Raw genomic sequence first — 18,160 nt, 5'->3', positions numbered from 1 at the left:
TTGATAAAGTCTCATCTTTCAGTGCTCCCCAGGAGGAGATTGTGTAGAACCATGCTCCTTCTTGACCCATTCTGTCAAAAAACACTTTTGGAATTTCATTATAGCCTAGTTCATCTTCCTGGCTTTAAAAGATTTCTATTATTTTCCCACAAGTCTGTCTCCCAATCTAAAGAATATGAACGTCTAGCTTAACCATTTTAAAACTGTAATTCATATGACTATGGCTAAATTCAGGTTCTTGGGCTTTCCCCTAGATGTTCAGATTCAATAGGTCTGGGTGGAGGCCATGAATCTGCATTTTCCATGAAAGTGTGTTGCAGGTCCCTCACTTTATAGGCCCCACTTTGAGATGCTCATAAGCAATGACATGTTCTTATTTCCAGTCCCTTGTGAATGACAAGCCCTTGGTAGTTGTCTGCTGACTGAAAATTAAGGCCACTTCTATCCTCTACTGCAAATGTACACTATTTGGAAAATTTCATTACTACTTCAGGCTAGGCTCATTTTAATGATCAGTGGTGTTGATTGTAATGTCATCTTTCTCAGAGCTGTTAATAGTTTTTATTTTGTGTTGTTTTGTTTAAGGACCCAAAAGTGGTGTATGAAAGGGGAAGCTGCTGAATCAGCAATCTGGCTTAGAAAAAGCATCAGCAACATTTCATAAACATTTCGTGTTAACTGTTAAGAAATAGGTTGAAAGGTAGTCCAAGAAATAATAATCCATTTGTAAGTAGTGCTAACAACAAAAAAAGATTAAACTTAAAATAAAACATTGGCTTTCCATTTCCTGATAATATAGAAGGCTTTTAATATCTGTAGTCAAAAGAATTGACTAGAAAGATTCATATAAACCAAATTCAAAGAAAACCCAACAGTCATTTTTGCAATAATGAGACCTCCCAAGTATAATGTAGGTGGCAGAAATTGGAATATGATAGAGTCTAGGAAATCTAGGATAGTCTCTTAAAATATAAAATAAAATCCCAGAGTTATTCTGCTAGTTTTTGTGACAATCATTATTTTTACAATTATACAAAAAAGGTTTTTAAAAATGTGGAAAACAATAGGAAACATATGATTCTCTTGTCTGTCAATAGTTTGGGAAACAAAAATTAACAGAAGACCTTGGTGATTTGCTCTCAGTCATTACAGGGCATCAGACAAGATATTTACCAATTATTGTAGCATCTCCTGGCATTAGTGGACTGTTGGAGGTTTTTATCCATTATTTTCAAGAAATTCCACCTAGGAATTCATTCATCCCATGCTATTTCATAATCAAATTGCTATACAAATGGAAGCACTTGGAAGTTTGTTGAGCAGAAGTAAATTGATTTCCGTTTTTAAACAAATCTTATCTAAAAATCAAGGTAAATCATTCTAAACTACCATCCATGTGGTTCTAATTTCAAAATAAGGATAATTAAAAAGTCAAAACGCTCAAAAGCCCTCTTTCCCATGTTCTTCCAACCATGCCCTGTCCAAAGCTTTCTGAACTTTACATCTAAATTCCTTAGCGGTGTTACTGACCCCTGAGATGTCAGAGAAACGCTTTGCTGGTCACCTGCTAGACTCTATCTCAATTTAAGGCTGCTGAATTGAGGAGTCAGGTTAGGACCAATTGCATATTTTGAAAAGAGAAGCTCTAAATCCCCTTTCTTTTCTTGAAAAGAAAAGCTCTAAAAGAGCAAAGACAATATTTCATTTTAATTTCCCTTGGTGTTAAAGAATATTCTCAAGAGATGTTGATCTAAAAATAGACTATCAATTATCCAGAACTTAAACTGACTTATATTTTTTCATCATGAACTCCAGATTCAGGACATAATCTCCACAGCCCCTCATTTCTCTGGATCAGATTTCCTATCAAGTGAGGGAAATAACTTTCTTCATAAGAAGCACTGCATACTTTAATTTTTTTCCAAAAGTAATGCTGGACGTAAAAATCTGTTACCCATGTTTTCGGGAAAAAGGAAAATGAAACAGGAACATTATCTCGTGTTTACATTTCATGATGACTTGATATTCAATTTACTCACATTTACAGGCAAAACAACCTTTTGACAATTCATTCATCTAAATTAATGAATTGTTCTTACCCTAGATGTATATAATATTGCTCTTTAAACATTTGCCTGACCAAAGATAGAGTGATTCCAAAGATTGTGCTTTTATTTGGGCTTTAAAATTAGCTGCAAATGGATGTGGAGTTTTCTCTGGGTCTTGCGAGGTGTTTCACTCTTCTTCCAAGCCATGTAACTCAATCTTGCTCTTCCCTGGTGTTTGTAGGTGGCAAGAGCTGTGCTGGAGGTTGAGGCCTTGCTCGAAGACACTTGCAGGTGCCACTTGTCTGAAAAGTTCTAATCTATAGTTGGTAGAAATCACAGCAGGCTGAAGGCCAGGGGATTTCTCCTGGGCTTTCCACTTTACCTTTGTGATTTTGTCTAAGTCATTTAACTTCCTAGGGCCTCAATGTCCTCATTTGTAAAATAAGGAGATAAGTCTATTCCTTTAAGCACTACCTTTCTAGATTGTGTGACATATCATCTGCAAAGTGCTTCTATTAGTCAAGAGAGAGATACAAACTGCCACATAACAGGGCCTCTGTGGTTTATAATGATAATAGCTAATATTTTTTGAGGCCCTACCATGTGTCACGCAAAGTGCTAAGCACTTTACATTTACCACACTATTGGAAAATAGAAAGATAAATTTTTTAAACATTCTAAACATTTCAGTGTAGAATGTCCAAGAAACCTTCATTGCTTTTATGTATGCCACTTGACTCAGCTAATATACAAATCATCGTTAAGTTATGGTCATATACATTTGTGCATTAATTTAACAAAATTCCAAGTCTTAAGTCAAGATAAATCTTCTCTTAGAAGTATTTATAGTAGTATGGCATAAACAACTGTAATACCCAGGCATGCTAATTTCACTTATCTGAAAGAATATGGGATATATACAGGGCAGAGGACTCCCCAAAGTGACAATCTGACTTTCTCTCTGGTGATGGAGTCTTTGAATAACTGAGGTTGGAATATCCTGGGGAAAGAAGGGAACATCGAAAATAAAATATTACTCAATATTTACATTTCAATTTCAACAATGCTGATTTCCATCCCAAAACAAAATACCAACTTGCAAAATCTTCCATGAAATTTTTGTGAAAAATTCCATGTGAAAAATTCCATGAAAATTTTGTGAACTAGATTTGCTTGTTCACAAACAAGACTTTTTGGCATCGCACTTCTACTCACTTAAAAAATGTACTTGATACAGCGAGAGCTGGATGAGACCAGATAACTTTGTACATTTAAGGTATGTTTATGGTAGTCAACATGCTGCTAATGAAAACTTTTTGATCATTGAAAAGTAAATTGAATAACAAGTTATAATGAATTATAAAAACATATGATGATGATTATGAACCAAAGTTCTTTCATCATAAATTTTAAAATGTGCTGTAGATGCAGTACATTAAAAAAAACTTTAACGTTCAAACCAAATTGTAATTAGCTTTTATACTAAAAAACAAAACAGAACAAAAAGTAAAGATTATGAAGCTCAGCTTCTTAGTCTTGAAAGAATGTTAAATTTTACACTTAGGCCATTTTAAATTATCAGTGTTAATTTAGTTTCAATATTTTACTAAACACGAAACAATGCACATGTACAGGTGTGTGCTTGTGTCCCCTGGTTCCTGACCTAAACATTAAGCTTTACTACCTAGTTTCTGAGCTGCAGTACAATGAAAAGGGAGGGTAGAGTTACTTTTATTCTTTGCATACGTCTTAAACATTTAAAAATATAAAGAATAAATTTTAAACTTGTCAGTTCAGAATTAGGCCAGAGAGGCTCAGGAGCAATGATAGGGTAATGGAAGGAAGGACATGAAGACATGAAGGTAGAATCATGTCCTTTCACAGTGACCCAACACAGCTGTGTCTCCACCTTCTTCAAGCCCCGGCAGATGTGTTACCTTGTGGAGATATACTGCCAAGTGAAAGTGGTTTGGATGTTTTCTTTCTCCTTTTCCTCCAGGCCTCATCCACATAATTCACTAACCATTCATATGACAAAACTACGTAAACTACTCGCAGGAAAATACCCATTTGTGAATATGCAAGTGTGTCCCACTAGACAGAGGGATGCAGCTCACCTACTAAAAAATGTGCAGACACAAAGCGAGCTTTCCATAGAATTCCTGTATCAGACCAACGAGGTGTGTGGTTTCAGGAATCTAGGGAAGGGCTCTTGCTCTAAGGACAGCCATGGTTAATGTTGGCATGCCAACCACTTTAACACCTTCACACAAAGACTTGCCATTTTTCTACAGCATGTTAAAAAATATAGAGTGAAAGTCTACCCAGACTCCTGGGAGAAGCTATTCATTCTTTTTTTAAATTTTATTTTAACAAATATTAATTGACTGCCTACCATGCTTCTATAGGATATCCTGGGATCCAACAAATAGACAAAATCTCAGCCTCCATAAATCTTATGTAACAGTGGAGGAGACAAGTAGGTCATGACCAATGCATTTATGTGAATGGATTTTACCAGTTTCTTCTATAGTAGTATCACCCCGAGTACCAAGACAGAACTGGGCACTTTAAACCTGAGAAACTGACTATGTCCATGTCCTAATTCCTCAGCTTTTCTGTGGCTTTTTCATGTTCCCATTAACGGCACAATTCTGAAGTTGTGTTTTTGCCACTAAGACATGTTAGAAAGATATTTAAGCTTTTGTGGCAGAATAACAGTGTGAAGTATTAATCAATGTTTTCCCCCTGTCCTTGGTATTTCCTTTTTTTCACTAGTAGAGAAAAACTTAAATGCATATTGTTCTTTAAAACTATTTCTGTTAAATCTCAGAGTTTTTCCAACACGATTACAAGGAAAAAGCTAAATGATGGGCTGGATACTTTTTAACTAAATGAAGTCAAGACCTTTATGTAAGAGTAAAATAACAGAATGAAGTTAGAGAGGACACAGAGCTGGTGTGTACATTACATGTTTAGGTGAGTGACTTGATTTCCAGCAATAAAATTCTATCAAATTCAATTTCCTTTCACAAACTTACAGTGAGTAAATGCAATTTCCCATTCCAAGCAAGCATGTCTCTAAGATTAAACTTATAGTCCATAGAAGATAACAATAAAAGTTTAAAGTCAGTACTTCTCCAAGGAAATTACTGCAAACCAGTTAGGGAATAATTTTATGACAAGAAACAGAAGAAATATAAACATGAAGAAAAGAGACCTTCATCCTAATCTTGCTGTTTATATTCTTAGTGTGTTTAAAATAATCTTCTTGTATTTCACTATTATATATTAAGAATTTCTGGCTGACTCAGTCCTTCATATTCACCAATTCCTATGCCAATAGTCTCCCATTCTTCAAAATTAGCCATGAAACTGAGTGCTGAAGTTTGTGATCCTCTAGCTTTGGTCACAATTTCAGCCAAGGCTAAATCAAATGCATTTCAGAGAAGGTTTAACCTTCTATTCCCATTACTCCTTAGTGTTATCCACACGCTTTCAGCTGAGTGCCTTACTGCGTCCGGGAACAAGTGATGGTGCCTAAAAGAGAAAATCAAAGCATGTTCTCTGATTTTTCAAAAGTCTAACCTTTGAAGGAAAACTGAAAAGACGCTTGTGCATAAACAGTATGAAAAATCTGTGAGGATGCTTGGTTGTATAAGTGCAAGACTTGCTGCCCCAGAGATTAGGAAATACTCCCCATAGCAGAGGAAGGAGCAGCAAGGAGTGAGTAGATGCTGGGGGCCTTAACAGAGGGAGCCTGCAGTTGCAAACACACAGAGCCTTGGAGACCTGATAAAAGAGGAGACCCATCTCTCTTTCCTGGGAAAAGCCTGGGGAGTAGCAATATCTCAGAGTAGAGGTGACTGCCTCTTGTGTCAACATAAATTTGCCAGAGGTGACCACATAGTTTAGCCCTGCACAGGACAGGGTGGGAGGAGCAGGCTCAGTCTCTTGTGTCTTGGAAATGCGTGGAAATTAGTGGAGACCCAAAGACTTGCACTGGGGTGTGAGGTATGACATAGCAATAAGGATCAAATGGAAATGAGGACATTTCAGTGGATGCCAACAGGAAAAATGATAATCCAGATGAGATGGAACACCCTCCTGTGCACCCCCACCTCCTTGACTTACTATAATTTAAATTCCCAATAACTTACAGCAATCCCTAGGAGATAGGTAGAAGATACTCATTATTGACTAAAACTAAGATTTTATCACCTATTGGAATGGGAGCTTGAAATAGAAATTGACTTACAGGAAAATAAATGTCCATTTCTTCCACACATAAGTGTATGGACAATATTCTCACCTACTACATTTTTATAAGGAGTTTAGAATTTTGGCTTAATTGGGGTTAGTTGGGGTGGTTCTGGGCAAGGACTTGTTTTGGCAAAGAGATTTTATATCTTTTATTCAGGTTGTTTGTTTGTTTGTTGTTTAGAGGTTGAAGGAATCAAAAGGAAGAGAAGGCTTTAATTTACAGCCAAAACCAGAAGTGGTCATTTGGAAGTCACTAGTATGAATCCTGGATTGGCAATGACTTTTACCAAGATAAGCCAAAAAAGCATTTAAAATTAGAATCATAAGGATTAAAGTATAAAATTATTTGGTATCAAATATAATCTTGCTCTCAGAACTGTTATAAAAGTCTAAAACGTTGCATGTCGTCAGTGATTTCTCAGCCCTAAGTATATGTCAAAGTCATCACTAGAATTTTTTTGTAAGTAGATACAGCCAGGTCTTATCCCAGACCTGCTGAATCATAATTTCTCCTGGTAGGGCCTTTTCTGGGCAGTCATTTAAAAAATGTCACAAGGCTGTAGAATAGTTAGTGACAATGGATGTCTGAGAAACCTCGTCTAATGCCACTGGCTGCAAGCATTATCAAAAACTGTGGAAATGGCCATTACTGTTTTCATTCAAAAATATTTATTAAATATCAATAATTTCATGGGCCCTCTAGGAGAGCCTTCTGCTTTCAACTCTAATTTAAAGAGGATCTTCTCTTCTTCTTGATTTCCTTGAGCTCTAAACAACAAAAAAACAAACTGCTTGAATAAAAGACACAAAATCTGTTTGCCAAAACAAGTCCCTGCCCAGAACTACCCCCGAATAACCCCAATTAAGCTGAAATTCTAAATTCCTTATAAAAATGTAGCAGGTGGGAATATTGTCCATAAACTTAGATGTGCAAGAAATGGAACTTTATTTTCTACCTTGCATGCAAGATAATACACTGTTTCAACTTTAACACCTCAATATGAGAAACGTCACATCAACCCACAGGTGAACTGAAGCCTAGGTCTTCACTCATGGTTTGGCTGGGACTTTTGAAAGAAGCCCAGAGCCAAGCATACTTCCTGAATTCTGCCACTCACATTGTCCACTCTCTGCTCGACTAAGAAGCAAATAATGTTAAGAAGTCTGTTAAGCCTGTCTTTGGAGGGGAGGGCAGGATGGAAGTTTGGAAGTTTAGTAAGGCAGTCATGCTTTCTTATGGTTCTGCCGCAGCGAGTCCTGACCCTCTCCCACCCATCACCTTGCAGTATCGTCAGCCATGCCAGGGAGACAGACAAAGTCACGTTACCATAAAGGACAGCTATAAAGGACAGCTATAAAGGACTCCAGCACGTAGCAGACAGCCTTCCCTGACAGCTCTATGTGAGACAATGTCTCCAAAATGCTGCTTTGATTGTATCACTGCTCCAAAGCCTTCAGTGACTCCTCACTGCCCACAGATGGCCCTCAAGGATATGCGGATCTGACCTACCTCTTCTAGCCTATTCTTCCATTCCTTTCCTACATGGGCTCTCTCCTCCAGCCAAACGGTCTGTTTTTTATATTTCAAATACTGGCCCACTTCTCAGTCTTTGTTCTGACTCTTCCATCTGCCTCTAATTTCCTTCCTCTCATCTTGGGCTACTGATAAATTACCCATCTTTTAAATCCCACCTCAAATACTCCCCACTCCTTGAAGGCTTCTGTAGTCTTTTGTTAGGGATGCTGTAACAAAGTACGATAGACTGCGTGGCTTAAACAATAGAAATTAATTTTTCATAGTTCTGGAAGCTGGAAGCCCAAGATCAAGGTGTCGGCAGGCAAATTTTGTTCCTTCTAAGGGCTGTGAGGGAGGCTATGTTTCAGGCTTCTCTCCTTGCCTTGCAGATGGCCATTTTCTCTCTGTGTTTTCACTTGGTCCTCCTTTTGTCGATGTCTGTGTCCAAATTTTATCTTCTTATAAGAAGACCAGTCATATTGAATGAGGCCCCCCCCTCCCCCCACCAAATAACTTCATTTTAATTGAACTACCTCTCTAAAATCCCTGCCTCCAACTGTGGTTACAATGTGAGGTACTAGGGATTAGAACTTCAATACATGAACTTTTGGAGGGACACAATTCAGTCCAAAACAGCTTGCTTCTGGTTGCTCATTTCAGCCATAAGGGATTTCTCCTCCTCTGTGCCGACAGCCTCTACTGCACACAATACTTGGCAGCAACTGTACTTCTATCTTTGTTCCTCAATTAGGGACTAGCACATTGCACAATACCTAGTAAGAATTTATTAGAGTAGAAGCTGCTTAACCGACCCCCACTTACAAATTCTGCAGATGAATTGTCTCCTTCATGCCCTCCGCAGTTCTCCCTTCTGCTTGCCGCTAGTACCCCAAGGGCCAGCAGAGAGCAGGCTTTCTGGAGCTTGTGTGCTTCTACTCTGGCCAATTAGGTTGTAAGTTTACCAAGAATCAGTTGTGCTTGATCTCAACCCTGTGTATGCCCTGTTGGACTTAATATATTTAAATAATTTAACTAAAAATTGTGTGAGGCAATGAAATATGAGTGTAAAGGGAGAGACTGTTTATGAAAAATTAAGATGTTTCCTTTGGAAAGGCTTGACAAAAGGGAGCTCCTAAAAGTATTCTTGAATTATGTGTCAGTGAAACAACTGTAAAGTCAGGAGAAAATAATAATTATAATCTAGAGGCCTCTGTTCTCAGATTACGAGTGTCTTTAAGTTCCTACTCTACTCTAACAAAACTGTAACTTTAAAGAAATCAAAAACCGGAAATTGTAAATGATGTATTGTAAATGTGGTTTATGAAAGACAACTCCAATATCAGACCTAGACTCCAAGGAAAGACTTTGCCTTCCCCATCAAATTATTCTTAAGTGAATATACAATTTATTATTTTAAGTTAAAATAAATGTTTATAGTATATATTATGTATTAGGATTTTAAAAAATGACTCTTCAGTTTATTTAACTTTTCAATTAATCATCCAACTACCCATCCCTCTTGCATAAGCTAATAGGAACACTACTGAAAAAGCTGCCATGCCAATGAAGGATTGTATCAAGGTGTGATTTTCATAAGCAAAGAAGACGCAAGAGCTGCCTTTATGACTTGCTAAGCTCTGGGCAGCATCTGACAGACTTGAGGATTAATACAGTTTCTTTCCAAACAAAGAGTTCAGGGCAACTGCCTGTGAAACACCATCATAACAGAGACATACTTTCTGGATAAGTGGTTACAGTTACATCACAGCTCCCTCACCTCTCTGGCCTGAGGAGGAATGTCTGCACTGGGGTCTCCTCCCAGCCATGCCTACCTGCACAGGTTGAAGTCCACTCTGCAGCGTTTCATCCAACATTTGCAAAGGACCTACTCTGCATCAGCCACTTGCACTTTAAAAATGCTTGCAATCTTTTCCAGAATGTGTTGAATCCACAGTTTATCAATATGTTTTATTTATATCAATAGGAAACAAGACATTTTATAATTACCTACAACACAAAGTATGTGCAACAACATTCAACCAGAGTCTGCTTTAAGAGACCAAGGTGTCATACAAAACACATCTAGGTGATTTTTTGTACATTAAAAAAAAATAAAAGAACCACTATTGAATAAAGTTAGAAACTTTACAATTTGCTAAGCTGTGGGCAGCAAAGTAATTTAATTTACTTTGTAGTAAACTAAATTTACTACAGATTAGTATTTCTACAGATTTTCAGATAGTAATTTCTACAGATTTTCAGATCAACTACAATTTTTCGGTTGCAGAAAACATTAACGATAAACATGTTTTTTATTCTGTCACCGATGCCTGTGGTTGGGGCAGCATGTTATAGAATGAATGTGCTGCACGGAGAAAAGGCAAGAACTCATCCCTTCACCAAGAAAAGCATCAACACAGCAAGTTCCTCAACACACCATGGACAGAGGCTGCAGTGCAGGCTTTAGGATTCATCCTCATTAGCAGGTAATGGCTCTCCTTCCAGCACCACCACCAAACTGGGTCGTCGTGTCCTCTGCCTGTACTATGGAATGAACTGTGCAGTCACCTAGTGTGTTCTTCTTAAGGAGAAAAATTAAAGGGCTTATTAATTCTGACATGATTTACAGAATTACACTGCAAATCATCAGGTCTTTCCCCCCTATATTAAATCTGAGATACAGGAAATTGATCCAATTCTCATAGTTCTCTCACCCCATTACTTATCTATAAGCTTATTTCCTTTTGTTCTTCTCCAAGTTCTTTTTCAGTGTTGTTTCCCTTTCCTTATCTTTGCCTTCCTCGCATGTTCCCTGGCTTGCTTATTTTCCTTTAAATCCTACACCAAAGGAATTAAAACAAAAAAATTTAAAAAAAAAACCTCTTGAGTTGAATATAGAGAATAGACAAAGAATTCTAAAGCCAGAAAGACTATTAAAAAAAAAAGACCTAATTCAGTTATTTTCATTATTGACTAGCAAATTGAGGTGCAAAGAGGCCAAAGCTGGTTCTAGCAGAATTCTTTGGCTCTATTTGTTCATATTTGTTGCTCTCCAGTTGCTACTAGGACAGGGACTTGGTGAAGCACAGACCAGGCTGTGCTCTCTTTGAATTCACCAAGTGCCTTTCCTCCAAAAAGTAGCAAGTCTCAGGTGTCATGTGTAAAACTGCTTTGTCAACTAAAAAACTTTTTTAAAACACTGTTATCACTATAGACTGGGATGACATTTGCATCTCAATTTTCTGAAGTCACATCTAGGCAAAGTTAAGGGCTTGTGAATACGAAAACTTTATTTAATAAGATCTCTGGTGTGCATCCTCACTGAAAGGAGTTCAATCAACACCTCCATAGGTCGCACACCTTAAAAATTCTCACACTTATCAAAAAGCCCCAGAACTTTTAGGAGAAAAATAACAAGGAGGGTATCACATGCTTGGACAAAGTGTTACTCTTGTCAGCTCCCTGGATCACTGGTGAATCCATTGTCTTTGGGGAAACAGACTTTTTTTTTTTCACTTTAAACTAGAAGAAAATTCATCTTCTGAATACTCTGAGCATCTTCCCACTCCCTTTTGTTTATTTATTTTGCTTTTGCTTCATATTGAGCCAAGCCACTCCCTGGCCTTGTCTCCAAATTTGAGATAGATACTCTGCCTTTGGCCCAGGAATTTCTAGAATTAATTTTCTGGCTGTGCAGTGTTCTCCAGGTATAACATTCCATACAAGCAATGAAAAATACTGCATGGAGCCCCTCAGCCTTTTCTATCTGACAATCACCCAAGGGATACTGCCTTCACTGCTTTCATTTATTTAAAATATAAGGTAAATTTTGCTATTAAGAAATGGAGTGGAATTGGGCCGGGCGTGGTGGTTTTTGCCTGTAATCCCAGAACTTTGGGAGGCTGAGGTGGGTGGATCACCTGAGGTCAAAAGTTTGAGACCAGCCTGACCAACATGGTGAAACTCCATCTCTACTAAAAATACAAAAACTAGCTGGGCAGGCGCCTGTAATCCCAAGTACTCGGGAGGCTGAGGCAGAAGAATCACTTAATCACTTGAACCCAGGAGGCAGAGGTTGCAGTGAATGAAGATCGCAGCATTACACTCCAGCCTGGGCAACAGAGCAAGACAAAAAGAGAGAGAGAAAGAAATAAATAGAGAAAGAAAGAAAAAGAAAGAAAGAAAAAGAAAGAAAGAGGAAGGAAGGAAGGGAGAGAGAGGAAGGAAGGAAGGAAGGAAAGGAAAGAAAGGAAAGAGAGTGAAATTGTACTAACCTCTCCTGTCTCTCATCTGATCACATAGACATTGAGGAGGTTGTATGCTACTGTAATCTAATATTAGTTTAGATTTAGATAATTCATTGAGAGGAGGCAGTGAGAGTGAAGACAATCCTGGTTATCTTTTAAGGTGGCTGAGCTCAACTTAGTACTTCCAGGACCTGAAATCCCTCTGCCACTTCTTAGCAGAGCCACAGCATCCTGGCAGAGCATGAACAAAACATAGGCTACAGAGATTCCACCTGATGCTAGGGTAGGATCCCACAGGATGAAGGGAAGAGATCTGACCTAAAGATGAGGGGAAAATTGAGTGAATATTTTTAACCTTAGCCACTGAATCAGGAACCAAAGCAGAAAGCAGGAGAAAATGAATACAAATAATATCATTCATTCTTGATTTAAAATAAAGTTTAGAAAGAGTTTGCTAAGAACAGAAATTGTCACCAAGAGTGTTGGAGTCAGGCTAGCTGTAGTTTGTGACTGGTCTGACAAAGGCTAACTCTTACCCAGATGTCCAATAAAAACACTTAACAAGTATCATTTCCATAAGGCTTTGTCTACTTGAAACACAAGCCAATTGTTTGGGTCCAAGTTATGAAGCAAGGTCTACAAAGGTTATGGGGTGAGGAGGCCTGATGACAACTAAATTGCTTTAAATGGAGCTCAAAATACCACCTTAAACATTCTCCTCTCCCAAGAAATGCTTAATCATAAATCAAGTAGTTCAAAACGTATTAAAAATGACAAATAGAGCAAGCACTTACATCTCATTTCTTTTTCTTTTAATTCACTGATGCATCAAAGATTTCTGAAGGATATTATTACACACAAAAAAGATGAAGTACACCAGGAATGCAAGATTCCAGGGATAAAAGAGGAGATTAAAAATCAAATGGTGGCCCAGACTTAATGCTAAAAATTATTCTGAAAATAGACCTATGCACTTTAAGACAAGGAGATGAGGACTGTCTGCTCTGAATTTGTAAGGAGTGGTGAATCTTACAATAATTGGACACATGTTTCTCATCTTTGAAAAACTTATGAATCCATTTTAATGCATTAAAGTTCATGGGTATTATTTGTCTACAAGTAAGCTTTCTTCTCCCTCTTCCCACCGTGCATTCCTTAATGGGGTTTTGATTTCAATGGGGGAAAAAAAACCTTCCAAAACTCACTAATGTTTTCTGAATTGCCATCAGGCTAACTTTAGAAGGAGTTTTTAAAAATGTGCTAAATGAAACTTTCCGTGCAAGAATCCCTGATATGCCAGTACTTCTAGAAAATAAGTTCTTTTTTATGTGTCCCTTCTGCTGTATGTAGAAATTAATTCTCAGCAATAAGAATTATTAAGTGCCTAACCCAAGATTCAAATTTGTCCTGACCTGGAATAAATCAGAAAGTGGCTCGGGTAGAAAAGTCTAGCCTGGCAAATAACACACCTCCTTAAAAGACACTGTTTCCGAGCACTTGGATGGCTCAGTGTGAAAGGAAGAGCTAACTCTCCGGAGCAACTCTGATTTCTCTCTTCCTTATGATTATAAGTACCTAGAGAATTCAACCAATTCTCAAGGCAGTGAGCCTGCCTTTTCTTTATAGACTTTTTTCAGTTTACTTGGAAACATCTGTTTTTAATTGAATTTGGATTTGAAACTAATTTCAGGAGAGATTGGATTCAGGCTCCAATCAAGTTGGAACAGAGAGATTATTGCTTATACACGTATCCTAAAATTCAGGGAGGCTTGAGGCCAAGGATACCACACTTCCTGAATGCATGCATGAGGCACATACATTTAGAAATGAAAAAGGAATGGTCTAATTCTCTTGGGAAAACTTCTTTAAGGCCAATGATTCTGGGTTTTAGGTTACAGCTTTTAGACAGGATTCGATTTTGGGAAAGGTCAGTTAGAGGACAATGCCCTCCCATGTGCTCCATATCTGGAGCAGAAGATTAAGCATTCACATGATCAAGTTAAAATAAAAACAGAATTTTGGGTTGTTCAGTGAAAAGGTCATAAATCTACCCTACTCTGCCAATTTGTTTTATTATTATTATTATTTGTATAAATTTAAGGGGTAATTGTGTTACATGAATATATTGCATGGTGGTGAAGTCAGGCTTTGAAAGAAATGGAAACAACACTATCATCTAACCACAATTTTTCTCTGCTAGTCTCTCAATGGCAAGAAGCCCCTTTCTTCCATTCATGCTCACCTTCCCCTGATTCCCATCTTACTAGAAGGTTGAAGAAGGAGAGATGACTCAAGATTTCCCCTTTGTTCTCTTCTGGGACTCCCTGCTGAGCACAGGTGCTCAGGAATCATCCAGACCTTGTTGCTCACTCAATGTATTCCTAACTATCTGCCTCAAAGTATTCTATTTTAAATGAGGCTCTTATTTTTCTGCTTCTCAGAAACATCTTTGGTGAACTCATTAGTGATCTGTCACAAAGTACTGAAAATCATAAAGAGCTGCTAAAGTGCAAGGGACCATTTTCATTTTCTTTAATGGCTGAGTCCAAAAAATAAAAATAAAATTCATGCCAAGAATTCTTCAGTGATTATTTGACATTTTTGACAATCCATCAAATAAACCTTGGATTCCTCACTTTGCAATCAGACTGACAGCTTATGCCAATTTTATCAAGCCTATCATAAATATATACCCCTATGTTTCTTGAAACTCAAAGTACCAATGAGCCAAAGAACACAGAGATATTTCTATTTAACTATATAACTATGATAAATTTTAGTAATGTATTAGTCAGGGTTCTCTAGAGGGACAGAACTAATAGAATATATATATAATATATGAAAAATATAGGATATATGAAATATATATTTTTATTTATAGTTCATATATAATATATATGAAAAATAAAAAATAATATTATATATTATATATATAAAATATATATCTATAAAGGGGAGTTTACTAAGTATTAACTCACATGATCACAGGGTACCCCAATGGGCTGTCTGCAAGCTGAGGAGCAAGGAAGCCAGTCTGAGTTCCAGAACTAAAGAACTTGGAGTCCAATGTTCAAGGGTTGGAAGCATCCAGCACAGGAGAAGGATGTAGGCCAGGAGGCTAGGTCAGTCTCTCCTTTTCACATTTTTCTCCCTGCTTTATTAAGGGAGGAGACCACCCCTCATATTGTCTTATGCCCAATTTCTGCCTCCAAAGAAAGAAGTAAAAACTAAAAGGCACAAATGAAATCCACAAGCAGGCAGCCCAGCGCCACACCCTGGGCCTGGTAGTTAAAGATCGACCCCTGACCTAATCAGTTATGTTATCTATAGATTACAGACATTGTATAGTAAAGCACTGTGAAAATCCCTGTCCTGTTCTGTTCCGATCTAACTACCGGTGCATGCAGCCCCCAGTCTCATACCCGCTGCTTGCTCAATTGATCACGACACTCTCAAGTGGACCCTCTTAGAGTTGTGAGCCATTAAAAGGGACAGGAATTGCTCACTTGGAGAGCTCGGCTCTTGAGACAGGAGTCTTGCCGATGCTCCTGGCCGAATAAACCGCTTCCTTCTTTAACTCGGTGTCTGAGGGGTTTTGTCTGAGGCTTGTCCTGCTACATTTCTTGGTTCCCTGACCTAGAAGCGAGGTGATTAACGGATGGTCGAGGCAGCCCCTTAGGTGGCTTAGGCCTGCCCTGTGGAGCATCCCTGTGGGGGACTCCAGCCAGCTTGAGTGACGCGGATCCTGAGAGTGCTCCCGGGTAGGCAATTGCCCCGGTGGAAGGCTTCGCCGGAGCAGTGAATGGCAGGCCCCCGTGGAGGATCAACACAGTGACTGAACACCAGGAAGGAACAGGCACTTGGAGTCCAGACATCTGAAACTTGGTAAGACTAGTCTTTGGAACTTGCCCACTCCATTTGAGTGGAAGCATTGCCTGATCACCTACGGCGTGCCTGTACTGGCACTTTGGTTTTTGTTTTTGACTTGACTTGGATTGCTTGATACTTTGGTTTTGGTTTTGACCTGGCTTGGATTTCTTGATACTCTGATTTTGGTTTTGATTCTGGTTTGGTGTAAACTGTAAAAGTGTGTGTGTCCTTTTTACCCGTTCTTTGTTTTGTGGTGTGCATGTGGTGTGAGCGTGGTGTTTTGCCTCGAGGAAACATGGGTCAGGCACAAAGTAAGCCCATCCCACTAGGAACTATGTTGAAAAATTTCAAAAAGGGATTTAAGGAAGACTGTGGAGTCACCATGACACCAGGAAAACTTAGAACTTTGTGTGACATAGACTGGCCAACATTAGAGGTGGGTTGGCCATCAGAAGGAAGCCTGGACAGGTCCCTTTTCTCAAAGGTATGGCACAAGGTGTCCTGTAAGCCAGGGTACCCAGACCAGTTCCCATACACAGACACTTGATTACAGCTAGTTTTGGACCCCCTACAGTGGTTAAGAGGATAGGCAGCAACAGTACTAGTAGCAAAGGGACAGTTAGTTAAGGAAGATTCTCTCTCCACCAGCCAAGGGAAGTCAGCACCAAAAGTTCTGTCCGACCCAACACCAGAAGAATCATGGCAGGAATTGGTACCAGCAGTACCCCCTCCTTATAGAGAGGAAGGGCTCCCCTCCCCTGAGCCCACAGCACCTACACCTCCACCAGATAACCGCACTCCTAGACCACCCAGAGTAGGCAAAAGAGGAAGTGAAGCAGCAGGAGAAAGTCCTCTGTTGGCAGCTCACTTATGGCCCAAGACTGGAATCCAAATGCCCTTGAAAGAGCAGTGATATACTGGGGTAGATGAAGACGGACACACGATGGAAAGGCGTGCCTTTGTGTAATCAATCTTTCACCTCTGCTGACCTCCTCAACTGGAAAAATAATACTCCATCTTACGCTGAAAAGCCTCAACCTTTAACTGACTTGCTCCAAACTATTATACAGACTCATAATCCTACTTGGGCTGATTGCCACCAGCTATTCATGTACCTCTTTAATACAGATGAAAGGCAAAGGGTGCTCCAGGTGGCAACTAAGTGGCTATAGGAGCACGTCCCAGCTGATTACCAAAACCCCCAAGAATATATAAGAATTCAGCTGCCAGGAACAGACCCCCAGTGGGACCCGAACGAGGGACCAGACATAGAGAGGCTAAGACGGTACCATGAGGCATTAATAGAAGGTCTAAACAAAGGGGCTTAAAAGGCTACAAATGTAAATAAGGTCTCTGAGGTCATCCAAGGAAAAGAAGAGTCCAGTGCAATTCTATGAAAGTCTGTGTGAGGCTTACTGTATGTACACTCCTTTTGATCCAGATAGCCCTGAAAATCAGCGCATGATTAACATGGCCTTAGTTAATCAAAGCGCAGAAGATATCAGGAGAAAACTGCAGAAACAGGCTGGGTTTGTGGGTATGAATACCTCACAGTTACTGGAAATAGCCGATCAAGGGTTTATGAATAGAGATGCAACGAGCCGCAGAGAAAGCCATAAGGAAGGCGAACGCCAGGCTAGGCAAAATGCCAACTTACTGGCCATGGCCATTAGGGGAATTCCCCCAGAAGGAGAGGGAAAGGGGGGTTCCGGGAAGAATACCCAGTCTAATCGCCCACGTTTGCAACATAACCAATGCGCCTATTGTAAGGAAATAGGACATTGGAAAGATAAGTGTCCCCGACTGGAGGAAAAGCAAGGTGATTCGGAACAAAAGAACTCAGATAAAGATAAAGACGAGGGAGCTTTGTTCAATCTGGCTGAAGGGCTATTGGACTGAAGGGGACTGGGCTCAAGCGCCTCCAAGGAGGCCATGGTCAGGATTACAACTGGGGACAAGAACATTAAGTTTTTGGTTGATACTGGTGCTGAACATTCAGTAGTGACCACCTTGGTTGCCCCCTTATCCAAGAAAACCATTGATATAATCGGAGCAACACAAGTTTCCACTAAGCAGGCTTTCTGTCTACCATAGACCTGCTTGGTGGGGGGATGTGAGATAGTTCACTAGTTCTTGTACATGCCTGACTATCCCTTGCCCTTGCTGGGAAGAAACTTGCTTAGCAAGCTGAGAGCCACCATCTCTTTTACAAAACA

The 18,160-nt window shown here is 39.2% G+C and overlaps 1 pseudogene across 2 annotated transcripts in view; it reads right to left on the bottom strand.

Annotated features, from left to right (window-relative positions):
* Positions 1–2,146: 2,146 nt before the first annotated feature.
* SLC66A1LP (solute carrier family 66 member 1 like, pseudogene) overlaps positions 2,147–18,160 on the bottom strand; it is a 57,783-nt pseudogene continuing 41,769 nt past the window's right edge. For both annotated transcript variants that reach the window (NR_166162.1, NR_166163.1), the window contains one exon: positions 2,147–3,048. The product of NR_166162.1 is annotated as a solute carrier family 66 member 1 like, pseudogene, transcript variant 1 (transcript). The remainder of the gene's footprint in view (positions 3,049–18,160) is intronic.

The sequence above is a fragment of the Homo sapiens genome, chromosome 3 (genome assembly GCF_000001405.40).
Source record: "Homo sapiens chromosome 3, GRCh38.p14 Primary Assembly".
Classification (NCBI taxonomy): domain Eukaryota; kingdom Metazoa; phylum Chordata; class Mammalia; order Primates; family Hominidae; genus Homo; species Homo sapiens.
The sequence above is the reverse complement of the archived record's forward strand: the minus strand, read 5'-3'. Positions and strand labels throughout refer to the sequence as shown.